This window comes from Homo sapiens, chromosome 2 (assembly GCF_000001405.40).
Source record: "Homo sapiens chromosome 2, GRCh38.p14 Primary Assembly".
Lineage (NCBI taxonomy): Eukaryota > Metazoa > Chordata > Mammalia > Primates > Hominidae > Homo > Homo sapiens.
The window spans coordinates 19,786,146-19,812,734 of record NC_000002.12 but is presented as its reverse complement, the minus strand read 5'-3'; the positions used below and the strand labels follow the sequence as shown (position 1 = coordinate 19,812,734).

The window sequence follows — 26,589 nt, the reverse complement described above, 5'->3', positions numbered from 1 at the left end:
CAGAGCAGAAGGAAAGGGAGAGAGATTACATTAAGTGTGTGTATAATGTTAGGGGCTTCACTGTTAGGAGTGCTCTGCTTCTGGGTTAGGGCAGAAATAAAGCAAACATTCTCCCTAGTACAGAAAGGGGCATATAATCGTTTCACCGTGTGTACAGGATTTTTAGTTACATAATGACTAAAAGCAGATAAAGATCCAGCCAAGAGAATAGCAAAGCATGGACATGATGCTCATAAAAGCCCTTAGCCAGTCTCAGGGCTTGGCTGCCAACCCGCTCTGGGGCGATAGGGGTGGACAGAGCCAGGCATGAGGAGCCCTCCAAGAGCCTGGAGGGGGAGGCAGTGTAGGGGGAAACAGCAAGGAAGGCCAGCCCTTGCCTGCCAAGAACAGCAGGTTGCAATGCTTAATGTCCATGCTCGTGCCAGTGTGCTTAGGAACTGTTGTTATTTTTATGAGAAAAATGCAGAAAGGCTAATCTGTCTATTTATGTCTGTCTGGAAACATGTAATTACCGAAGGGTTGTTCTGGTGCCAGGATCCAGTCGTGGCTCTTCCTCTCCCATGCTGTCTTTGGGAGGCTGGGCCTGATGCCCCAGCTCAGGAATCTGCCAAGGGTTTTGAGCACCAGTGGGATGAGCAGACAGAAGGAAGGGTACCTGGGAAAACCATGAAAATTGGGTCCATTGCTTTTATCCACCTTAGCTTTTTGGCAAGTAGTAATTTGAAGATAATGTTCATTGAATCTATGACTGCTGTGAAATGCAGAGTCTATCATCCATCCATTCATCCATCCATCTATCCATCCATCCATCCATCCATCCATCCTTTGAACAAACATTCCATGCTAGTCACTTTACTGGGCTCTGGAAATACAAAGATAAATAAGACATAGTCTTTCCACTCGAAAGACCTAAGGTGTGGAGGAAGATAGAACTACCAGCCATTAAGCACAATGCTATGAGAACCTTCTCGCAGGTACAGTGGGGCAAGGAAAGAGCTGGGAAGTCAGAAAAATCTCTAGAGAGCAGGTGACTTTGACTTAGATTCTGAAAGCTGAGGGCATTTTTGCCTTATAGCCCCAGAAAGCTCCTGTAACCTCTCCAGGAGTCCAGAGGATGTCCTAGGGTGGCCTCTACCCTCTATGAGTAGATCTTGAAATGTAACATGCTTGGCAAGAGTTGGGGTGGAGTGCTAAGGCAACAGTGATTCTCCACCTGGTGTGGGGTGCTCTTGGTGACCTGACCCCAGGCTACTATGTCCACTTTGCCCCCCTGCTTCTCCCACACTGGGTCCTGTCACACTCTTCCCTGAGCGCACCAGGTTCCTGCCTCCTTGCCTTTGACCCTTTGAGGTTTGGCTTGGTACCTAGGGTGTTGCTCTGCTGGGGGACTGAGTGAGAAGGGACGCGCCGAGTAGTGAGAAGACCCATCTGAGTGCAGCAGTGAGTGTATTGAGGAGCTGCGTGTGGCCAGGCCAGAGGCCATGGGGGCAGTTGCAGGTGGGAAGGTGGTGTTTGGAAAGGGATGAAGCCGGCCTAGGGCTTATTGATTGAAGGAAGATGGTGGCAGGCATGTCACCCACCTTCCATACCCTAGTCCTGAAGTCCATTGCGCAGTTGAGGGCATCATTGTCTACGGGAAGATAGGTCAGTCAAGGTCATATAAGTCTCTGCCTTCCATATTCTGGGGATTTCTAAATCTGTAGTTGTGATATTCCCCAAGTTTCAGAGGCATTGGTTTTTCACAGTGTCCCTCCCTAGTTAATTCCTGGGTAGCATGGGATGTGCTTCAGGAGGGGAAGGCGCTGGCTGGGAAGGGCAGCTGACTCTCCAGCTGGGGCCAGCTGGGCTCCAGCCATCAGCCCTAGGCCTGGCCCCTGCATCTAATCACAGCTTCATCACCAGGCCAACAGGGGCTGTGTTGTCCAGAGCTGCAGATGGCTTGTGATGTCACCCTTGCAGATGTGGTGGTGAGGTGGCCATGGACATTCTTGGTGCTGTATTGGCACTGAGCTGGGAGGCAGGATGGAGCCCATGAGCAAGACAGGGAAGGTTCTCTGCTAAGCAGGTGGAGTAGACTGTGTGTGTGGAGGGCCGGGCTGGAATTTGAGAGTCCAGAGACTCCTTAGTGCTCCCTAGCACAGGAGCCCTGCTTGGTTCACTTCCTTTCTGCTTTTTGAGCCTCATCCTCAACTCTTCCTCCTCCTGGGCTCTGCCTTCCCAAATGGTGCTGGAGACCAGGCCCACACTCCTGCACACCTTGGCCTGCGCTGTCCTCTCTCAGAGTACTCTTGCCACCACTCTCTGCCCGCAGGACTCCCCTTCCTCCTGCTCAGAGGTTTGTTGCTGTCTGGGGCTGCCCCACCTCTGAGCTTGGTTGCTGTGGTTAACATCTCTCCCATGGGGCTCACTTTACTGCAATTATGAGGACCTCATCACATCCCCAGACTGAGAACTCCTTGTAGGCAAGTCTTGGGCCTTATTCACCTTGGTATTTCCAGGTCACACAGGGTTCCCAGAGAATGTATTGAGTAAACGAGGGAAAGCAACTGCCACGGTCACGGTGCTTTTGTGTCCCTGCTCTGGGCTTCCTCCAGCCTTGCCCTTTCCCAGGGGACAAGGGACCAAAACCACATTCCCAACTGGAGTCTGACCCTAGGTTTCTCCACTGTACTCCTGGTACCAGGGACCCTGGACTCCTCTGCTCCAATGTCTCTGAGGCCTGCGTGGAGTCTCATTGGGGTCTTTCCTGAGCCACCCATGAGGGCATTTCTAAGTCTGAGGGGTGGCAGCATGTGAACTGGGCTTGAATGTATGGGCTTAAGGAGGGGTCTATAGACTTACATACGAGGCCCTTCATGGTGTGGGACTCCACCAGAATGGGAGATAGGAAAAGGACAGGTGGGTCACAGACTTTCACCTGTCCTCTTGCTCTAGGCCCTGAATGAATGAATTCATTCTTAGTGGAGCTGTGTCTCTGGGGATCTGAAAGTGAGCGCTGGACTTAGGGGTGGCTTCAAGGCGGGGGTGGATAAATGGATGGGAAGTAGTGTCATCTGGGGCAGACAAGCCTTGATCTTCTGGTCTATTGAGTCTTCAGCTTTAAGCATTCTCACACTCATAGGTAATCTTTATTAATCACCATCCCATGGTTTAAAGCATTAATATGTTTTCATCTTCACGATGGCCCTGGGGGTGGGTACTAATTTTGTGCCCAGTTGACAGAAGAACTGAGGCTCAGGATTACAAGTAAGACCTCCATCTATCTGACGCTGACTTCGTCTACTCTGTGCATGGCCTGTTAGAGGAAAGCCTGCGGTGGCTGCCCTCAGCATTGCAGTGCCTCTGAGCCCAGCAGTGGCCCAGGAGCAGGAAAGTCTGAGGCTTGACTGAGAGCTGGTTTTGGGGGCCCTTAGTCTTCAGAGGGAGGGTAAATGTCCACCATCCCTGAGGCTGGAGGACTTGGGGGCCATGGGTGGGGGCGGGGGTGCGTTCTGGCTGGGGCAGGAGTGAGGCAGGATACCGGGCCTGGTGTGGATCTGCAACCGGAATCTTTGGGAGTTGAGAGCTTTTTGTTTGTTCAGCTCATCTCACCTGGAGAGTCAGAATGGAGAGTGTTTTTTGCCCCTTAGGCTTAAGGTGGGAACTTTGGATTCTCTCTACATGGGGATGTTCAGAAGCCCAGGATTTTTGCTGCACCAAGGAAGACTTCATAGTAATAATAATTATTAGGGTGAATATTTTATTATTATTATTTTACAATGGCCACTTAGCCTGATTTAGCCTGACTCCTAGGTTTTTGGACCCAGGATATATGGATGCTAGTCTAGTATGCTTCTGAATATCAGAGACATTTCCCACATTCTGCATGCTTGGAGAGTTCACTCCTGTTGGGGCTCAGGGATGTATTGAGAACAAGGAGAGATAGTCTAGGGAAGTGGCAGGTTTTGATGCTTCAATCTGCTACTTATTCTCTGACTATCAATGCTGTCTTGGCCTGGGCACTCAATCTCTTGAAGCCTCAGTTTTCTTATCTGCTAAAGAACAATTCTTTCTGGAGGGGCTGTTGTTAGGCTTAAATGATGGCACGTGATTGGTGCAACTTACTGTTAGTTATTCTCATTGTCTGGGACAGTTTCTTGAGCTGTTAAGGGGAAATTGTCCTTAGACGTCAGGCCATCTTCTCCCGTGTAGGGTTGGGGTTTTCTCTTTCAGAGGCACTTGCATGTGGTGGAGTTTGGGAACAGAACAGGGTGATCCTGCCTGCTGATCCATCTTCAATGCTTGTTCCGTGAAGGAGAAGGGAGCTTGTGAGAGAGTGGCGGTGACATCACAAGACACTGGCTGGAGGTATCGTGGAAAAGCTTACATTTTGTTGGGGAGAAAGAGAGCGGGCGCAGCACTAAGCTTGCCTAATAACTCTTCTGATCTTGGGGGCTGTTATTCGTTATGTACTTTTTTTCTCCTTAGAGAGGAAAAGGATGCTGAAGGTGCCAGAGCACTGTCGTGGGCAGGCAGAGATTTACTGCCCTCACTGTTTTCTGGGTTTCCCCCAGTCCTTGTCCAGCCTCTGAGAGCCACATGGGGCCTGCCAAGCCTCCTGCAGTCAGTGGGTTCAGGCAGGGTGGAGGCAACCCTTTCAGGTTTCAGCAGGCACAGGCCAGTGTTTTTGACCATCTTTTCCCCAAGCTCTGTTTAAATATCCACCGAGCTCAGCTGGCCTGGCCTTCGGAACCAGCCATTGTGCTCTTGGTGACTCACTCACACCAAACCTCCCCTGGAAATTCTGGATGAAGTGGGTTCCAGGGACATTTTCAATTTTATTTCCACTGGTAAAACATTTGGTGTTTGCCTCATGCTTCCCTCAAATCCCTGGCTCTCCAGTGGAAACTGCCTCCTGCTAGCAGGGGGTGTGCGGGGGCAGGACTTCTCTCCCTCCCCACACTGGCTCCCATGAACCTAAAGACCAGGAATTCTCTGATGGCTGGGAACTCAATCTCTCAGAGTCACAGTTTTCTCATCTGTTAAATGGGAATTCTTCCTAGGGGGCATTATTGTGGGCTGTGTCTGATTTGTTCCTTTACCCCAGCACTTGGCAGGGTGTACCAGGGCCTTGTCTCTTGTCCCTGGAGTGCTTGCCATCTTTTCCACTCAACATCTCACTTGGGTTTACACAACTTGCAGGAAAGGCAGGCTGGGGCCAGCACTGAGTCTCTGGACTCACCTCCTGCTGGGAACCCTCTTTTCTGGTCCTTTCTTCTCCCTCACTCCTCTGACCTTGGCTCCTGTAGCATCTCTTCCACTGACCCCTCCAAGGCCTTGTCCACTGGTCCCTCCAGGGTCTCTTCCACTGGTCCCTCTAGGCAGCTGCTTTGTGAAGCTCTCCTAACCCAAGCCCAGCCTTGGGTGTCTCTGCCTCAACTCCCCTCCATTAGCCTGAGGATTTCCTGTGTCCAGGGCCCAATCTGATCAGTTCCTTTCTCCCTAGCCCTTTGGTCTTGAAGATCCTTCTTTTTCCAGGTCCCTTTTTAAAAATAAGGCCCTAAGAGAGAAGAGAGTATGAGTGTGAGAATAAAGTTGGGCAAATCCCCGGAGAGCGGGTGGGGAAGGGGCTGCCAGCTTTGTGTTGACTGATAGAAAGTCCTTCTTTCTGCCAAGCAGATGTCTGACTCCAGGAAGCATCCGCTAGTGGCCCTGGATCTGTCCTCCGAGGCTCTGAACAAATGTCATCTCTTATTCTACACAAGCAGTTGTCAGCTGGAGCTCCAGTTCCCTGGGGGACAGTCCAGGGGAAAGCTCTTTTTGGGAGGCTGAGAAGTAGCAGGCTTGCTGTTCCTGGGGTCCCCTCTGGCTGGTCCACAAGGGCCCTCTTCACGCTCCTCACGTGACCTCCCTTAGTGCAGGGTTGAAGGAGCAGCTGGCTCCTAGACACCAGCTTCCAGCCTTCTGTGGCATTGCTGTAATTATCTCACTCCCACTTAATCTCTACAGCACCCTCATGAGGTTGAGGACACCTTGGCCCAAGGGCAGGCCAGTGACTGATCCAAGGCTACAGAGGCAGGGAGTGGGGAAGCCATCCCAGCACTCTACTCTGCATTCTTAGCCCAGGGTGCTTGTTTTTCTTCCTCCTCCTCACAACATACCTCCCCTACTAGATTTACCCAGAGGCTGTGGGAGAGTGGGGGCCCTAGAAGATGAACCCCCTTGCTGCCAGGCCCTGACCATGTCTGCCTCCACCTTCTCTTCCCTTGAACTTCCTTTCTGACCCTCATCTCTCCTTAGACTCCGGTTTCGTGTTTGTCTCTTCCACATCACTTTATCAGGTTTCAAGGTCTGGAAAGAGCAACACAGTGAGTAAGTTGTCTGGCAGTGCTGTGGCACTTGTGTGACCCAATCCAGATGCCCTCCTCCCGGCTTGAGTCCCCATCCCCACCTGCCCACATTCTGAGTGCTTGAAATCAGTGTGGGTCCTGGCGGCATCTCCTGTGACCTCTTTTGCTTTGCAGGAGGCTTGGGGAGACCACATCACAGGGGATGGGGCTGAGAGCTTGTGGCCTCCCCAGCATCCTCTGTCTTAGGTCACTCTGTCCTCCCTAAGCCCCTTTTTCTCAGGAAGCTCCTGTTAATATGTTCCATTTCTTATATCAAGCAACTGTCCTACAAACAGCGTTGTTGGTAATTCATGGGAACGACTGTTATTTTTGGAGGCTGGAACTTACGAAGGCTAGCCTAACACCAGCTGCTTTCTTTTTTTTTTTTTTTTTTTCTTTTTCAGCTTTCCTCATATTATTATAAAAATTACAGAAAAATATTTGGCTCATCATGTTCAACAATATATGTGGCTGATTCCCTGTCATTGTGTTAATCCTAGAAAAATAAACGTTTTGGCATCTTGCAGATTTTCCCCGGGTGGAGGGGAACGTGGTCTCCTCTGTGTATTGAAGGCCGTTAAATGTCTTTCTCCATAGCGCTGTGCCTAGGAAGATGCAGGGGGTTTAATTGGACTGGGTCGGCATTAAACATTGCAGTGTCTTGGTTATGGCTGAGGGTCGGGTTAGTTAGAAGCTGTACATAATCCTTGGGGATCTGGGCACCGGGAAATGATGGCCTTGAAGACCCAGGTTCAAGGCTGGAATAGGGAACTCAGTTGAGGTGGGGAATGCAACCAGACTTATTTGAATGGGAGGAGAGGAGTCTAGATGCGCTTCTGAAGATGCAAGGAAGGTTAGTGATAACAAGATCCCTGGAGGGCAGTTCACCTGATACAGGCCATGATATGGTGATTTTTGCTGAAACTTTGAAGCAGTCTCACATTCTTTCTTTGATCAGGGCTGTGAGATAGGCAGAGCAGGTGCGACCATGTCCATTTTATGGATGAGAAATGGAGGCTGAGGAAGGAAGAATCACTGGCCTAAAGCCACAAAGGGACTTGGAAGTCAAGTAAGGAAGGAAGTGAAGCCTCGTGATTTTGAGGCCAGCCTTCTTCCCTCCTCACATCCTCTACCATTTATCTGTATGCTTGGCCATTCATACCCCATTAAGGGAGTATGTTACCCCATTTTCTCTACTGTTGGAGGCACAAGCAGATAGCTGTGTCCTGGTGCGGTTAAAGCAGGTACTAGTCTTCTTTTAGCATCTGCCCTGCCCACTCATGAACTAGCACCTTCTTTAAATGACAGGTGCCCCCAACTGCCAAAGCCTGGGCTGCCCCCAGCTACCCCTGGACTTGGTGGGAGCTTGGCCCTTTGAAACCTACAGCCCAGCCTTCTTTCAGCACAGCCCAGAAACATAACTCTTATTTCTGGCTTGTGGGTCTGTCCCTTTGAAGGCAAAATTGCTGTTTCCCTCCTCGAGGATCAGCTGAACCAAAGCTGTATTTCAGTTTATTGACTTGGCTTGAACAGAAAACCACAGGTGGGGAAAACACAACCTTCCCGGCTCAGGGCCCATTCCTTTGGGAAAATGGGGAAGGAAAAACTGGCCTTTTCATGGCCACCATCCTTCTGCCATGAAGGAAGTTATTGCCAGGTCTGAAAACTGACCCAGACTTTCCTTGGAGCCATTTGTGGCTCACAAAATTGCAAGAGTTTCCTTCAATTGGTTGTAATGTTCCTTGGAATTTACAGTCTGAGATGTTCCCTAGGGCACTGTTCTCTTGCAGGATCCCCACATGTGATCCTCACATTGTTCAGGGGAGCAGGGCCAGGGAGAGGCAAGGATGGGCATATCGGGCCTCTCTCCAGTTATCTGTGGGATTGTGCAGGGGTCTTCACCGTGTGTTCTCAATGCTCTGGGAGTTTTGAACTTGGCTTCTAATTCAGTTGGCCATTTCCAAATTATTTTGTTTCTGTGGCAATAGGCAGAGCTCATTCACTGAGTTAGAAGGAGGCTTAATGGCGGGGAGTGATGAATGCTTTGGGAGCATCCATTTGTTTTTCATCCATCTCTCAGTCATTTACCTCTGAATTCGTTCACTGTGTTCTTTCATTCCTTTTCCTTCCTTTCCTCTTTCCCTCCTTCCTTTAATCATCCATCTATGCATGCATATATTCATCTCCTACCCATCCATCCCGCCATGCATCCAATCTCCACTTTTAAGAGCTATTTCCAACCAGTTGGCACAGATACACACTAATTTACAGAATATGTGTACTCAACAATATCTATTACTTAAACCACTTCAAAATATGTAACCTTTATTTTCTTACTCTTTAGGTCACATTTTTCTGGAGCATAAATTTTAACCCAGAAATGAATTGATCAGATTTTCCTTTGTCATTAAGAAGGCCATTTTGAAATATCATTTTATAAGAAGGCCATTTTGAAATGTCACTAAGAAAGCCTTACACACGGTTCTTGGCTGACAATCATTTATACTTTACAAGTGTTTTGTTCTTCCTTCTGAATTCTAAGCATGGCTGCAGGGCCTTGGCCTGACTCTCCAGTCTGATGACTATCAGTCCCCAAAACATGCTCCAAGTTCTTGTCATAATGTTTTACTTCTGGCCCCCAGGACACCATATACCCTTTCATGCCTTCATACCTTTACATATGCTGTGCCCACTACCTGGAATGCCCTCACTCATCTATTCACATGCTGAGCTCCTTGCCACCCTTCAGACATCATCTTGGATGCCACTCCTCTGTGAAGCCTTCCTTGTACCTCCAGGCAGTGTGAGAGTCGCTTTTGTGTTCTTATTGCTCCTGTTACATTGCATTCATTTATCTGTGAGCTTCTTGAGGGTAGGAATTGGGTCTTGGTCTTTTTCTTATCTCTTCCGTTAAGAATAAATCTGTACAGACTGAAAGCAAGTCAATTTTAATGGAGACTGGGAAGATAATGGATCTCAATAAAAATTTTATTCTTAAATCCAACAAACATGCTTTATGCAGAATGTTGCTTTGAGTCTGATGTTACCTGGCAAGTATTCCAAGTGTGAGTGGGTACCTCGTGGATCCTGGGAAGGCTGTGAGGCCAAGGCCTCTCTCTTTACTTAAGGAATTTACTGCCAGGGAATTGAAGCTGTGGCTGACAGAAGTGCCGGTGCTTCTGAATTGTAGCCGACAGTTTAAATGCACAGCAAATGCACTAAGAACAGCATCTAAAATTTCCTGATTTTGAGGATGATAAAAGCCAAAGAAAAGCCATCAAAATAGCCTTGGCTTACCCCACACTTCCTTTACTCAAGGCGACGCCTTTGCACTAAACCACTCTGAATGAGCTGGGGACCTGGCAGGAACAGACGGAAGTAACCGTGGAGAGTTTAATGGAGGGGGGGGGCCTATTTTCAAAGTGTGAGAAGAGCAAGGGCCATGAGCAAGGGATGGTGAAGCCCTCTGGGGGCGGTGGGTGGTAGGGGCGGACAGTTGCAGCCACCGTACCTGTACTTGCAGCTGTGGGGCTCAGGAGAGGCTGCCTGAGAGGAGCTGGGCAAGTAGCCTGGTCTTATTCACCTCCTGCCCTCTGCTATAGTGCCAGTACCTTCCACTGGCCAGACCCAGCTGGAGGACAAAGGGCAAGGAAGCCCATTCTTCCAGCCCCAGGTTGGCCTCCAGGCCAGAGAACAGTGGAGGGTGGGTCCAAGGGGTAAACAAAGCATCCAGCATGAGCTCTCTGTACATGGGCAGTGCCCACCTGGCCATCTGCCCATCAGCATGCCATCTGCAATGAGCAGACTTACTCCCAAGCACCACCTGTGCCCTACAGGGGCCTTCGGTACAGGGTTTGCTTTTATGGGTCCATGTAGGGCTTTGAGGATGGGCTGTTGTATAGTCTGGTAGAGGTTAGTAACTTCCCAGGAGGACACATTGCTTGACTGGCTGGGTAGCACCCATAGGAACTGTGATTTTTTACTCTTTGCCTTTTCCGGGAGATGCAGCCAGGGAGCTTTAGCCTCAGGAGTCAGGAGGGGCAGGGATGGTAGGAGCAGACAGCTTGGCCAGAGATGGAGGCCAAGGGATTCTCTTCGTAGAAACTCTTTGGCATGCTCAGTAACCTCCAGGAATGTACGAATTGCAGGAGAATGACCTGCTCTCAGCCTGGATGTGTGGGGGCTGAGAGGAAAGAAGCTGCATGGTTTAGTTAAGGCATAGAAGTTTTGGGATTAGATAGACATGAGCTTAAATCTTGGCTCCAATGTTTAACTTTGTACAAGTTGCTTAACCTTTCTGAGCCTCAGTTTCCACAGCTTTAAAACAGGGATGACAATTCTGACTCTGCAGGCTTATGGTAGGGCCTAGAGAAATACATGCACAATGACTATTCAGTGCCTGACATGTGGATTTCTATTAAATATTAAACACTCATTCAAGCAAAGCTGACTACCTAATCTTGTGCCTACTTTGATCAACGATCTCTGAAACATCCTTGCTTTTGGCGTCCCCTAGGTGAACGACCTCGGGAGAAACTAAGGCAGCTCAGGAGTTATAACAATGTTTAGGCCCAAAAATGGACTTGTTTTTAACTTTCCCACAAGGCACACTTACTAGAAAAAGTTGCGGAAAATTCGATGCTTGGTTTACAGTCCCAAGAACATGAAAAAGCTCTTCTGCCAGTTAAAAAAAAAAGATGGATGTTGTTTCTTGGAGAAGGAATGTCGTACAGTGGCTCAGGAGGAGACGGTGAGTCAGACGTGCTGAGAGCCGGGCCAGGCTGTCCCCTTGGTCTGGCCTCTGTGAGTCAGCACTGCCCACGAGACCCAGCGGGCAGCATGCCCAGAGGGCTGCAGAGCCAGGTGTGGTCCCTGGCGCGTGCAACAGCAGCTGGATGGTCCTATCACCCTCTCCTAGGACATCAGAGAATGTGTTCCTATGTCAGTATTGTCAGCTGTGGCCAACTTGGGCAGTTGCCGATAGGATCATGCCCCTCCTTTCTTTTTTTCTATATAGGGTCCTATTTCTAGATCAAACTCTCAACTTTCCTGTCCTACTTTAACTGCACATTCCTACAGCCAGCCCAGAAGTTTTTCTCCCACTTTTTGTCTTTGGGGACCTGTTGGTGGTGGCATTTGGTCTAGCAGAGGTCGGGCGGAAGAGAATGTTCTATTTTGGGGGCTTGAATGGTGAACAGTGAATGTACCTGCAGGAGAGCCTTCCAGCTGCCCCAAGGGTTCCAGACTGTAGAAAATCAGAATGCAGAAAGCCAGACATTGAAGTGATGAGAGGGAGAATGCCATGATGGTTGACAAGATGTCTGGGAAGGCTTCACAGGGGAGCGTCTTCCCAAGTAGGCTGTGGGAGGTGGACGCAGCAGGGAGGGCAGGCTATTAGGGGATCTGGTTCCAGGCCAGACTTAATGGCTGTGTGGCTTGAATATGGAGGTTGACCTCTCTGACCCTGGTGCTCCTCATCTGCAAAACGGGGTCAATAGTTCTTACCTCGCAAGGTTTTGCGAGCATCACCTTCAATAAAATAGTTTATGTAAAAGTACATTGTGATCTACAAATTTAAAAAATAAATGTTGGATGTTACTACTACCAGATAAGAAAGAAAAGATCAGAGAATAAGTGGCTTGCCAGAGGTCACATGGCTGGTATAGTGACAGCCAGGACCCAAACAGAAGTCTCTCCTTTCCTTTGTTCTGTGTTGTTTCAGTTTTTTTCCATCTGCGTGGAAGTCACTCACAGAATGTTTTAATTAGCTGGTGGCTTGGCTCAGGGTGTGGGTCTTTGTGGGTTAACTGGGTATGTTAGCCTCTCTGGCATGCAGCTTCTAGAAGTGGGCAGGTGTTAGCATGGCCTTCGAGAGGCCTGTCATGGGCAGGGGGTGCTGTGGCTCTGGGAAGAACTGTACTCCAGAGGTAGATTTCAGCTGCGAGTGCTGACTTGCCCCTTTCCAGCACCCCGCAGCTGGGATCTCCTGGTGGAGCTGGGATCTGGGGTTGGCCATGTCTGCCTAAGGGCAGGTTTGGAATCTGTTTCATGAAAACTCCCAGCATGGAGTGGTGGTCCTGATGGCAGCGGCAGGCTCATCCATTTGCATAGCATCAAATGGAAATGTCTAGATGAGCTGCCAGGAACCCTGGGGGCTGGTTGTCCCCTGGAGGCATGCTGCTGGATGGGCAGAAGGTTCATAGAGTGTGCTCCTGCCTGGTTCATTGCAGTCCTCCGAGTCAGGTGAGAGCACTTATATTTCCATAAGTACTGGAGGTAAACAACCTGGGACAGGGACTGGGGTTTGGGGAGGAGCAAGCCACCAGGCTTTCTCTAGGCCTGAGTGAGGCAGTGTGCCTTTTTCCCAGGATAGAGACAAGCTTCTGTCCTCGGACAATGCACAACCTCCTTTATACCAAAGGCTATTCCCTGGTCTTGCCTCCAGGCTTTTGCACTGCAGGGAGCCCGTCTTTGGGCTGCCCTCTGCACCCCTTCCCTATCCAGATCCTGTGTAGTGAAGGAGCGTGGGCTCTGGAATGAGATGCACTTGGGTTCAAATCCTATCTTTGACATTAACAGACCAGACAACCAGAGAACTTATCTCGACCTCAATTTCCTTATCAGTAAAATGGAATTTATACTTCCTATCTTCTAGGGTTTTAGTAAGGATGAGAGATAATGCATTTATATTGCCCAGTGCCCAGTAGATGCACAATAAACAGTCGCTGTCACCTTTGTCATTCAAGGTCCAGCCCCAGCGTTGCCTCCTCATGAACTCATCCGAGACTGGCTCCACCACCTCCCTTTCTCTGACCTGGATTCCCTGTTCCAGGGCTGCAGGACCTCTATCCTGGCCACACCTTATTGCTACTATTCCTAACTCCTCTCCCTTGTCCCTCCCCCGGAGCCTTCTTCCCTTCCATCATAGCACCCATTATGCTGTTTTGGACTCTTCGGCTTTTGTACAAGTGCTGGAGTGACTTTTATTCATGCCAGTTGGGGAAGCTCTGTGGGTCAGGAGGGGCCCAGTCAATGGCTCCCTGCTCTGCTGTAAAACTGTGTTCCTTATGGAGCTGAGCTTCTGACCAGCATCCAGGTCATTTAGGATTGCAGAACCCAGGTGGTCAGAGCAGGGCCACTTCAGAATCTGGCTGATCCTTTTCCTCAGGACCTTCAGAGGAAGAGAGAGAGATTGAGGTCCCTGCACCCATTTCAAACAGGACACTTGGTGTGACTGAAGAAAGGGACCCACTAAACCAGGGCTTAGAGCATGTAACAACTCATTGTGGGTTAGCATAGAGCCAGGGCTAGAACCTAGCTCAAATAGTATCACCCCTTAATCCCCAGTCCTTTCATTCTTGTGAGATTCCCTTTCCAGTAAATGTGAGTTGAATGCACAGATGTACAGATGAACAGTTGCATGGATGGAGCTTCCAGGGAGACATAGATTGGGAGTCAAGTAGGCCTGGGTGCTTAGAGACAGAGTGATTCCACTTGGCCATACATGGAGACCCCATAATCTATCCTCACACTGTTTCAACTCAGTTCCATGAACAATCCAGTGGGATGGGGTGGGGCAGGGGTTTGCAGCCAGAGAAGTAAGGTGGTTGGATCCATGTTTCAGAAGCATCCCTTTGGCCAGGCTGGAGCAGGTGGGTTGGAGTAGCAAGGAGGAAGGGACTCTTGAAGGAACATGGAGGAGGGAGGATGCAGCCTGGGTTGTTCCATGCACTTCCGGATGTTGCTGGCTGGCCCCTGAAGAGTGGAAGCCTTAGTCAGGCCTGCCTGTGCTGCCTTCAGGTGAGATGTTATCAGCGTTGCATTGAAGGCTGGGTCTTGTTTCCAGAGGCAGGAACACAGTCAAGGCCAACACTCTGTTACCAACTGGGAGTTTGGCATTGCTGCCCCTGTACCACAGTGGAGCCTTCAGCCTTTCCCACTGCCTCTGCTCCTTCCGAGGGCTGAGCTTGATCTGCGGGACTGCTCCATTCCATGATCAAATGAAATGTCTCTCTGATGATTCTGAAACAGAGCTTAGGTGTGGGAGCCTGAGGCCAAAGGCCTCCATTCTACCCCGATGGGCTGGAAGATCTAGAGTCTAGTTTCCTCACCTGCAAAACTCGTGGAGATCTGGACTCAATCAAATAGACATGCATCAAAGCAGGCTATCTATGAGTCACAGTGGGGCCTATGAAGGTGTAAAGGATGGTAGTAACTCTCAAAGACGTTTTGGTCTGATGGAGCAGATTTAAACAGAACACAGATTTCTATGGTACAAGGCAGAATTGCATCACAGCCTGCCAGAGATGTAGAAATGTAGCATTATGGGTTCTCAGACAGGGGAGATCACACCCTGCTGAGCTAACCAAGGAATGCTTCCTAGAGGAGATAGCATCAGGAGGTGAACTGATTGCAGCAGACAAGGGGACCTGTAATTCAGGCAGAGTGCCTACCGTGAACTGAAGTAGGTGTGTGTGTGGTGGGGAGACGAGAACAGGGTATGTATGTACTTTCAGCTACCTGATCCCACACACCATTTGTAAACCAGCTACAGTTTATTGGAAGCTTACTAGGAAGAGGTAATGACTCTACAAGGCATTCATAGCATTGCTTGTGTTTTACAGACAAGGAAACTGAGATCAAATGAGTTTAACTTGTTCAGCATACCATGATTGCTAATCTGCAAAACTTGGATTCTAACCCAAGTCAATGTGATTCAAAGTCTGTCTCCTTAACCACTCTGCCCAACGTTCCTTACAACTTTAAAATTCTTGCTTGTTTTATCCTTTCTGCATCCAAGGTCCTCTGTGACTTGGTCCTCGCCAGCTTTCCAAGATGCCCTCATTTGCTTTGCTACACACACATTCTGTTCCTGCACAACATCTGTGATCTCCCTTCAGATTTTTGCACATCCCTGGGGCAAAACACATGGACCTGAGGAAGAGCTGAAGTCAAAGGGACACATGTGCTCATATTGTGCATTGGCTGGACGTCCAGCTCCCACGAGATGGCTGGGCCCTGCACTTCTCTGTGGGCATCCCCCACCCTTACCCCCTATCTAGGCTGGACAGGCATTCAGAGCCTGTCATGGATGGGTTGGATTGATGGGTTAAAGATGCTATTTCTGACAGTGGTGTTCTGGCCATGTCTATAGTTCTGCCCTGACCTGGAGCTGGGAGCACAGTAAGAACTAGGTTGGTGAGTGTTGAGTGAATGAATGAGGGGTAACTTGACTGCCCACCATTGCTCCTTCAGCAGGGTTACTGTACTGGAAACAGGTAAGTCTTCCCTCTGCTGCCTTTCTTTATAGCAAGTTCCATGTGTTCAGTTGGTGTCATATTTCCTAGGACAGCTGGGGATCCCCTGAAATGATATTCTCCTTCAGTAATACAGTTTAATTAATTAATGAATCAACCACCCAATTAATCCAATAGATAAGTATCAACACCTACCATGTGCCCATCACTCTTTTATCCACTCCATGGTGGATACATCCTTGCCCTCATAGGGCTTACATTCCAGTAAAGTTAAGACCCATTTATTATAGATGCTCCATGGATCCATAAATGTCTGTTGGCTGATTTATCCTTATGTAATGTGTTAAGCTAGAAAATATTTAAATTTCTATTGTACTCATAAGCTTTGAACCACCTGATTACTGGTCCATTTTAGAGAGAACATTTACCCAAGTACTAAATCATCAAAAATTTGCAGGGAGACAGTTTTCTGATTCAGAAATCCTGGGCCCTCCCCTAACATCTGTGATTCATGCCGCTTGTTCCATGTAAAGCAGGGATTCCTGCTGAAGATTGCAGGATGGTTAAACTTGGCACCAATTGATGTACATGTTAGGGCTAAAACCTCAATACCGCAAGGCCATAGCAGGGAAAATCCATTAGCATATTCATGATTCCTGTGCCTTCTATTTATAGGTCTATTGTCAAAGCCAATGATTTTTCAGCTTTCACGGGACTTCCTCACTTACCAAGGATTTCTGCTGTAAAATAAGAATGTGTGAAATCCAAACATATTCTCGTTATACTTAGACACTCATATCTCCAGAAACCGTAGGCATTTCTAAAGTCTGAAAAAGATTACTGGGAAACAGAAACCCACATTCACGACTTGCTCATCGTTCTTCTCTACGTTTCACAATTGTTTGGTCTTTAACCAAGCAGTACAGAGGTGTGGCTACGAAATCAGAAATCGACTTTTCATGTGTGGTTTGGATAAACTTCCTTCTGGTGTAAAGTCATTATATTTTTAATTTAATTGTCCCTCTAGGCAGCTAAGAGGTGGCGAAGGCATGCGGGTTTCACATGGTCTAGTTGGCTTTGTCCTCTGGCAAGTGTGAAGTTGAGGCTAAGGGACGGCTTTGGACCCTGGCAGCAGTCAGGGGTCTGAATATCAAGGTGCTTTCCGCTTCTTGATGTGAGCTGTGAAATATTTCGTGGGGCTTTATATATACCATTGGGGGCCCTTTTCTAAAAGAACAAAAACATCCTCTCTTCCCCCCCTCATTTTACTAGTTGGGGTCTGCCTGTATTGGATTGCACATGCCCACCCAGGTGCTGGGCAGCTTGCTCAGAGTGGGGTCTCAACTCCCACCCTGGCTGTTGGCTAGAAGCGAATCTGGATTTCTTGTTCTTTCTCTGAGTGGGGCTCCAACATTTTGCAGCTGACGTGTTTGGAGTAAAAATGTTTACAGGCCCGGAGGAACATTAGCAACATTGCAAATGCTTTTTATTAAGACAAAAAAATGAAGCTGAATTATAATTGTGTGAATAGAAGAGAGTGTGAAAGTCTTTTATCCCTGGGGTCTTGAGGACTCAGATCTTTCTGTTTTGCTTTCTATATATATGGCTGGAAGCGGGAGCTTAGTTCCTATTTAGGGAAATTGCTGATGCTAATACAATTTGATGTTTATGAGCATCAGAACCATAAAATAGATACAAAAGAAATTCTTTGGGTGTTTTGCAGAGAAGATAGTCCAGAGATGATGAAAAAGACTTCTTGGAGGAAGCTTTTGATGGGTTTGGAGGATGAATAAGAGCTCAGCAAAAGGCAAAGGGAGATGGCTTTGATGGAGGAAGAGAATTCCTGGTAAAAGGACTAGGAAGAAAGTCTGATGGGGCTGTAGTACAGTGTATATGCTGGGGAGCAAGCGGGTCTCCAGCGTATGAAAAAGTGGGTTGAGCTAAGACTGTAGAGAGTTTTACTAATGAGTGTATATGAAATTTGTAATGGCAATGGAGAGTCTTTGGGCTTTTATTTGAGAGCCTAGGTTTTTTTTTTTTTTTTGGGATGGAGTCTCGCTCCGTCACCCAGGGTGCAGTATAATGGCGCAGTGTCGGCTCACTGCAACCTCCGCCTCAAGGGTTCAAGCGATTCTCCTGCCTCTGCCTCCCGAGTAGCTGGGATTACAGGCGCCCACCACCATGCCTGGCTAATTTTTGTATTTTTAGTAGAGATGGGGTTTCACCATGTTGGCCAGGCTGGTCTCTAACTCCTGACCTCATGATCCGCCCACTTCCACCTCCCAAAGTGCTGGGATTACAGGCATGAGCCATTGCACCTGGCCGCCTAGGTTTTAAAATAACAATTTGTTTGATATCCCTTAGATGCTGTTGCGATCTAAGGTGACTTCACTATCTGTTGGGACCTAGAGTACAAATTACACAGGGGGCCTGCCAGACTCAACATCAAGGAATCCTTGCCTGGACACTGAGGTTGGGCTCACATGATCAGCTAGGTCCACCTGCGTTGGAGTTTCTACCATAGCAATACCTGAATGGCATCTTCAGTGAGTGACTCTGGGCAATCTCTTAAGAGGATAAGTCAGCCAAACCCAACTGGTGATGTGGGTGGAATGTATTCAGAGTTATTGACAATGACATTGGCATCTTCATTGTTTCTTATGCGGTGTAGTGACAGCATATAACTCAGTGGTGGCCACAGACACCTCCCAGCATAGGGTGTCTGGAGCAGAGCCTCAGCCCTTGTCCTGCATGTTCTCCTCCAGGCTTGCCGCATGCTGGAGTGTAACCGTCCACACAGCTGGCCAGAGCCATTCTCAGGCTTTATTACTTTTCTCTGGGTCTTTTCTAGATTCCTCCTCTTCCATCATATTTGGGTGAGTACAGGAAATAGCAGAAAAGCTGATAGGACAGACAGATGTGCTGGATATCTGGAGACTGGCAGGAGAACCCCTTAGCTTCAGTTTCCTGAAGGACTTCCAGAACCTGTGTAATCCCTGAGAGGCCACCTTTGCTGCTGACCCTGCTCCTAGTTCCAACACCTTGGTGGGCTGCTTGATGTGGAGCTAAGTCGGCGGCTGGCAGCCCCTTCATTCCCAGGCCTATAAAATCTCTGCAGCCAAGTCATTTGGATTCCCACATCAAGAACAGTCACATTACTGAGCAATAACCCCGAAGTGTAAGGTTTATCTTATGGAGTCCAGGCTCATGTCTGAGTGCCTTAACCTGGGCTTGGGCTATGTGAGGAGTGGGTGGAGCCAGGGTCTGGGTATGATGGTCAAAGTGGTGCTGATTCCAACCTGGGTTCTGTTTAGTTTGGTTAAACTCTGAGGTGCATTTTGATTAAATTAGAAAGCGTTCATAGCACACTTTGTATAGGAAAAGGGCCTGTGTGGGATTTTTTTATGCCCTAACTTACTTATAAACAGCTGTGTGGGGAAAGGTAGTTGTTTTCTTCGTGAAATAACCCTGATATAGTAGAAAGATCACTACAGTGGGAATCCAAGCTGCTGGGCTCTTGTTCCACAGCCACTCACTTGCAAAGTGACCTTGTACGAGCCTCCTCTTATCAACAGGTTTTAGATTTCCCCATCTGTAGAGCAAGGTAGTTGGACTAGATGAGAACTGAGGTCATCTCCAATTTTAAGCGACAACACTTGAAATTTCCTCCCAAGATAAACTCAGAAGCAGCAGGAAGTTATTTCTAATGTCCCGTTCCCTACTGGAGTAAGGTTTGGATGTGGTGACCCAACAACCCTGGTGTCAAATACTCTGTCACTCACCAGATCACATATTAGAAAGTGTGTTCCCACTGCCGGTTCCAGAAAACAAACACCAGTAATCACATATGCGTAGAGCAATCCTAGCCATTTCTTTTGGAGATGGAAGTGAAACTCTCCCAACTTTCTGTTTCATAAATAAAGGAGAGCAGAGACATAACTCTTTTTTAAGAAGCATAATAATTAAAAATTACACTGTATTCTGTAATAACCACTTAAAGGACCAAGACAGGGAACAAAAAGCAAAAGAGAGGGAAATAAAGAGGAGAGAGGCACAGCAAGAGAGTAGAAGGAACTGGATCTACCCAGTTCAATTCAACCGACATTTACTAAGGCTAGAGAAGATTCATGTTCTCAGAGCAACGTAATAGTCATGATTGTTGATATGGTTTGGCTCTGTGTCCCCACCTAAATCTTATCTCAAATTGTAATTTCCACGTGTCAAAGAAGGGACCCGTAATCCCCATGTGTCAAGGGATTGGTTATGTGTCATGGGGGTGGTTACTCCGTGCTGTTCTTGTGATAGTGAGTGAGTTCTCACAAGATCTGATGGTTTTATAAGCGTTTGGAAGTCCCTCCTTTGTTCTTCCCTCTCCTGCCACCTTGTGAAGAAGGTGACTGCTTCCCTTTTTGCCATGATCGTAAGTTTCCTGAGGCCTCCCCAGCCATGTGGAACTGTGAGTCAATAAAACCTCTTTCCTTTATAAATTACCTAGTCTTAGGGAAGTTCTTTATAGCAGTGTCAAAATGGACTAATACAAATGTAAATATACATATTTTTTTTTCTTGCAACTACAGTTGTCCCTTGGTATACTCAAGGACTGATTCCAGGACCCTGGAGTATACCCAAATCCACATATACTCAAGTCTCTCCGTTGGCCCTATGGAACCTCCATATACAAAAAAATTGGCCCTTTGTATATGCAGGTTTCATATCCTGTGAATACTCTTATTTTCAATCTGTGTTTGGTTGAAGAAAATTCCACATGTAAGTGGAACCACACAGTTCAAACCCATGTTGTTCACGGGTCAACTGTATAGGCTTTCTTTGAGGACATCAGTCTAAGGACTGCAGTTTTCTCTTGGACCAGGGCTACCTTCTGTTGTTATACAATTCCTGATGGAGTGGGACCACTTTAGGTTCTGTGTGAGGTTGATCAGATTTCTAGCCTGGTCATGGGGGAACTTGTACAAATGCTTGTCACCCCTGGACAAGTAGTCACGGCCAGGGAGTTGGATGAACATAGAAGCTATTGTTGCTGCTTTCCCCAATAAGGTTTGGAAAGGCAGACATTTGAAAAATCCTGCTCTGTTCCATGGTGGAGAAACTGGCAGACACTACCTTGGCTAGGGGACAAAGTTCACATCGTGAGAGGTAAGTCGTGTTGACAGCGTGTAGCCTCATTGGCTGTGGAGAGGAAAGCACTTCACTTCCATTATATTTTTTCTCCAAAACCCATAGCATCAGTCTAATCATGAGATAAACATCAGACAAGCCCAAACTGAGGGGTGTGCTACAAAATATCTGACCAGGGTGTCCCAAAACTCTCAAGGACATAAAGAGCAAGGAAAGTCTGGGAAACTGTTACAGACCAGAGGAACTTAAGAAGACACAAGGCTTTTTTGCAAGGTGAAACCTGAATTGGATCCTGGAACAGAAAAGGGACGTTGGAAAAACTGGTGAAATCTGAAGGAAAAAAAAGCTAATTGTAGCCAATCAATGCTGGTTTCTTAGTTTTGATGAATATATTGTGGAAATGCTGGTTTCTTAGTTTTGATGAATATATTGTGGAAATGTAAGAATATTAACAACAGGGAACATTGGCAAACTCCATGTACTACCTTTGCGCTTTTTCTGTAAGTTTAAAGTTATCTCAAAATAAAAACATTTATTAAAAACACAAAGCAGGTGAGTCTGCATGTCCCCGTGGTGCAGCATCTAGCCTTTTGCGTGCCTCTCACTTTTCCACTCCTTACAGGATAAAGAGGACTCTCCTTTCCCTAGAAGTCCCCTTAGCAGGACTCCATTATTGAGGGTACCAAGTCAGTTTGCTCTTGGAAACATATGGCTTCTTTTCTTAGAAAACAGATGTAAAGTCTGGGTGCAGTGGCTCACGCCTGTAATGCCAGCACTTTGGGAGGCTGCGGTGGGCAGATCATGAGGTCAGAAGATCTGATCACGAGGTCAGGAGATTGAGACCATCCTGGCTAACACGGTGAAACCCTGTCTCTACTAAAAATACAAAAAATTAGCTGGGCTTGGTGGTGGGTGCCTGTAATCCCAGTTATGGTAAGCTGAGGCAGGAGAATCACTTGAACCCAGGAGGTGGAGGTTGCAGTGAGATAAGATCATGCCCCACTGCACTCTAACCTGGGTGACAGAGCGAGACTCCATCTCAAAAAAAAAAAAACAAACAAAAAAAGGTGTAAAATGTCTCATTAGGAAACTCTCATATACAAACCTCATGATTAAATGGTTTACCAAACTGGATTTGGATGGATAGAGTGTCAATAAATCAGCAATAGGAACCTGAATTTGTCCTGGGAATTAATTCTTGGTTGTGGCATTCCGGTAGAATCAAGTGCCCACATGAATCCATTCAGCCTTTCCCTGAGAGGAGAAAAGCGAAGATCGGAGAGGCAGAGGGACAGACTTCCTAAGACAATTGACCATTCCTTACAGAGCACATGTTGTGTGCCCAGCCTTCTGGCGGGCCTCTGAGGATGGGCTTAATCTCACAGGGGGTGGAGGCAAAGGACAGGGCATTGTAGCCTCTGAAGAGGCTACGGAGGGCCTGAGTCTGTGGTGGGGAGACTCGGCGGCCCCGGGGCAGTGCCTCTGCTGGCTGTCTGCCTGTGTTCCCACAGCAGCTGGGAACACAAACCAAGAAACTCCTCAGGGTTGCTCCTGTCTGGACATCAGAGAGCTCTTCTGCAGCTAGGGTGACCAGCTGTTCACATTCGCTTGGGATTGAGGACTTTCCTGCGGTGTGTGACTTTTGGTGCTAAAACTGGAGACTCCCAGGCAAATTGGGATGGTTGGTCACCCTACCTGCAGCTGATTGGGCTTAGAAGGAGCTACAATTAATGGGTCTGTGGTAGCATTGGTTTTTATTGTGACACCCCCCCTGCGGCTTGTTAATCAATGGAAAAGAAGCTGGAAATCATCATGGTATGGGACTCTGGTTCTTGGCCAAAAGGGAATCCCCATGGCCAATGCCTGTAAACAAACAGATGCTCAGATATGGCTCTCCTCCACCTGGCAGTGACATTGAAGCAAGAAGAGGTTGATTCCATGGAGCTAAGTGACACCTGCTATCAAGGGACGGTCTCATTATCTCCCGTCGAGACAGTGCTGGGCTCCGGTCACCAGAGGCAGGGACACATTTGTGTTGTCCTTTAAAGTGACTTCATGGATCTCAACCCATGAATGACCAAACATCCCTGAATCAACGGCCTGTCAAAGGCTGTAACAGGCATTGGACCAGAGTTGAGGGATGGGGGAAGCTCTGCATGACACCTGGAGTGGGGACGGATGTGGTCTCAAATAGCTCCAACAGGGAGGAGAGTATGGTCTGTACACTCGGGAAAGTGTGGTGCGGTAGGAGGGGATGCTCCCTCTGCACCGCTCACCATCTTCTCTCTAACTTGCTATTTTCTTTAGTTCCTGAGGTTTTTCATTGAACCACTATGCTCTTAGGCACCCAAACCAAATGCTGGGTATTCTCTTTGCCACTCCCTGTTTTCAGAGTGCAGCTCTGGCTGACCAATTCTCCCACCGTAAGACCTCTCTCCCATCTGTTTCTGCTGTCAGCATCCTAGCTCAGAGCCCACCAGGGCCACCCCAAAGCTCTCCCTGCTCCCTGCTTTCACCCTCCCTCTCTATCCTCTACCAGATCCATCTTCTCAAGGACCACCTTTGTCATACCCCCCATGCATCAATGTCATCTGACATCCTCCTGACAAAGCCCAACTTCTGGCCCTCCCTGGCCCCCAGCCTGCCTTCCTACCCCACTCTCCTTGCTCCCCATCAGCACCAGGTGTTCTGGGACTGAGCCCTCCATTCCTTGTTGATGCTGCTTGTTTTCCTGCTTCCCACCCTTGCTCATGCTGTTGCCTCCTTCAGAATGACCCGTGCTGGGGAAATCTTCATGATGGCTTTCCTGATTTCCTGGAAAAAGTGTTTCTCCCTGCTCTGGGCCTTTCCCCCAGCATGGGTGGGCCTGACTTTCAGGCTCTTTCTGTGCCCAGTTATTTACATACTGACCCACCCGCTGAGCAGGCCTCCTTGGAGGCAGGACAGCCCAACTCTAGGCACCAGTATAGACACTGGACACTGTACTTAGGGTCAGTGGGTCACTGAGAGAATCAAATGTGATCAGTCCCCAGTGGTATTTCTTGGAGTCCTTAGGCTCTCTGGGTACAGCCATGTCCAGCATGGGCTTTTTAAAATGGCCAGTGACATCTGCGTGGCTTGTGATGTGTCTTGTACCCTGTGTAGGATTAGGCGTTTTCATTTTTAGGCCTGTCAAGGGGAGACCTTGGAGGGCTGGGGCACTGGGCAGTGAGACCTGCAAGAAGGCTCAGGCTCCTATCCTCACCCCCAGCCAACCCTTAGAGCCTGTATTTGGGTTAGGAAGGCACAGGTCTGGTTACTGTCCGGATGGGGTTGGGCTTATGTGTTGGTAGTGGCTCAGGAGATACTGGACAAGCGACTGTCTGCTTTGGGGTAGCTGTATCCCTAAGCGAAGCCACAAGCATCTTGGCAGAATAATTTTATGATCTGGGAGTATCCTTAATTTTCTTTTAAATTTATTTTTAGAGACAGGGTCTTACTCTGTCACCTAGGCTGGAGTGTAGCAGCAGGATCATAGCTCACTGTGATCTCAAACTCCTGGGCTCAAGTGATCCTCCTGCCTCAGCCTCCAGAGTAGCTAGGAATACAGGTGTGCACCCCCACATCAGCTAATTTTTTTATTTTTATTTTTGTAGAGGGGGGGTCTTGCTATGTTGCCCAGGCTGGTCTCAAATTCCTGGGCTCAAGTGATCCTCCTACCTCGGCCTCCCAAAGTACTGAGATTACAGGCATAAGCCACCATGCCCAGCACCAGGAGTATCATTAAGAAGCAGCAGACCTTTCATTCAGCCAGAAACAAATGAGAAAATACTAACCATGACAGAAATAAACTCTTACTTCCAAAAGGAGCATTTTTTACCCCATCTATGACTTGTGGAATAATTTTAACCCCTATTTACCAGATGAGGAGACTGGGACGGGGACGCATGAAGGGCCTGGCTCCGGGACTTATAGGTGAGAGCTCCTGCTTTGTCCCTCCTAGAACATCATTAAGAAATAATCCCAGCTTAAGCAGCACCTTGATGAGTGACCTTGCGATTGGAAGGCAGATTCTGTTGCAGGAACGGTAGCCTCTCTGCACTCAAAGGAGATGTGTGTGTGAAGGAGAAAGAGAGGAGAAGGGGTGTCTGTGGGGCTGATTTGAAGTTTGAACAGCATCACGCAGCTGGAAGCCAAGGCAAGGCATTTCATCCACAGGGATCATCTGCATCTTTCCTGCTATCTGATGACTCAGGAGCATCCATGCGCATTTACCAAGTACCTGCCCAGTGTCAGGTGTATCAGGGAGTGAATTTGGCTGCTTGAAAAGAAAAAGTGGAATAGTTGGTTTAAACAAATAGGGCTTATTTTTCTCAGTTGAGCAAGAGGCCCAGGGATAGAGTGCGGGGCTGCTGCAGTTGTCATGCAGTGTTCCTGGGTAGTTTTCATCCTCAGGGTTTCTTCGTGGGTGGAAAGTGGCAGCTGCCTATCCATGTCACCTGCAGGAAGATGCCAAAGGAAATTCATGGAGGAAGGGGTACTCCTGTGTCAGGGAAGGGAACTCTGTTTACAAAGTGCAAATCGACTCCCACTGTGATCGGAAGGTGGTTTTTAGCAGGATGCCCACCACGCGGAGCCATGCTGAGTTGTTGATTCTGCCTCCGCAGTCGCCCTGCATGCTTCCTAAGGTTCTCTTGCTCTGGGAAGCTGGGTTTGCCCGGTGGCGACCCACTCTCCTTCCTGGCTTCCAGACCTATATGGTCCCTGAATCTCACTCCACACGTGGCCCTGACACAACTTACCTCTGCCTTTCGTTCCTGAGACTAATTGCCCCATTTTTCCCCTCTCTCCTGCTTGTGATTCGGCCCCTTAACCAGATCCCAAGGTTGAGATTTGAGTGCTCCCTTAACCATCCAGGCACTGCCCGGCTATTGACTTGGGCTTCTTCACTCACCCACACACTTGATCCTGAGAGCTGGGCCTGAGTAGGTGTGGGGGCAAAGGAAAAACAAAGATAAACCTGACTCAGGCCTTGCTCTGCAGGTCCCCAGTCAAGGCTGGCTTTGCCCTCACCTATGCTTGAATTCTAGCAGAATCTGGTCGGAGTCATGTGCTTGGTCAGGAAGGGATGAGACAGCTTCTGCACTTTGTGCAAAGGGCTTAGAGGAGAATCCAGACATTCCTCTTCGCTGGGAGTAAACTAGCCACCTGGGGACAAAGAGCAAATCATAACAGGAGTCCGGGGAAACCCAAATATGCCTCAAAGGGGACTGGAATGACAGTTTCTTCTCCCTGGAGGCAGGCCTGAGATAAACTGAAGACTAGCAGTTTTTGCTTACTGAAAAAGAGGAACATGACTCAGTCCTTGGGAGGCACTCATGGCTCAGAAAGTGCCAACTCATCCCAACCAAGCATTCTCCTCTAAAATGGCCATTTCTCTCCTCTCTACCTGCCCTACTCTTAGCCATGCATCAAGGCTTGCTCAAATATGCCCTTCGATGGGAAGCTTATTCTTACACTGCAGGCGAATCAAACTCTTCCTTTTCTGTGCTTTCTTGGCACTTTTGAAAATAGTATCTTGATTGTAATTTATCTTTTATCATAATTGGGCTTGCTGATATGCCCTCCCACTGGGCTTCTTGAGGTCAAGAGCTATGTCTTTTTCATCTCAGTGTCCCTGGGCCCTGGCTTGAGCCTGACACAGAGGAGGTGCTCAGTGAAAGATGTAGCTTTTAACAAAATCTAATGTTACTGCCAGGGGTTGTCTGTTAGCTTTCCTTCATCTACAATCTCCAGGGTTGCATTCCGGCTGCTAGCTACCCTGACCCCCTCTCCACTTGCTCTGGACC

General features: G+C 48.2%; 1 annotated feature.

The window, feature by feature from the left end:
- Window positions 25,390-26,589: an enhancer, noted in NCBI's record as "MED14-independent group 3 enhancer chr2:19985907-19987106 (GRCh37/hg19 assembly coordinates)". NCBI's record gives its function as "activates an origin of replication core promoter dependent on BRD2, BRD4, P300/CBP and CDK7 cofactors, and independent of MED14, by STARR-seq in HCT116 cells {active_cell/tissue: HCT116}" and the evidence as "EXISTENCE:reporter gene assay evidence [ECO:0000049][PMID:35650434]".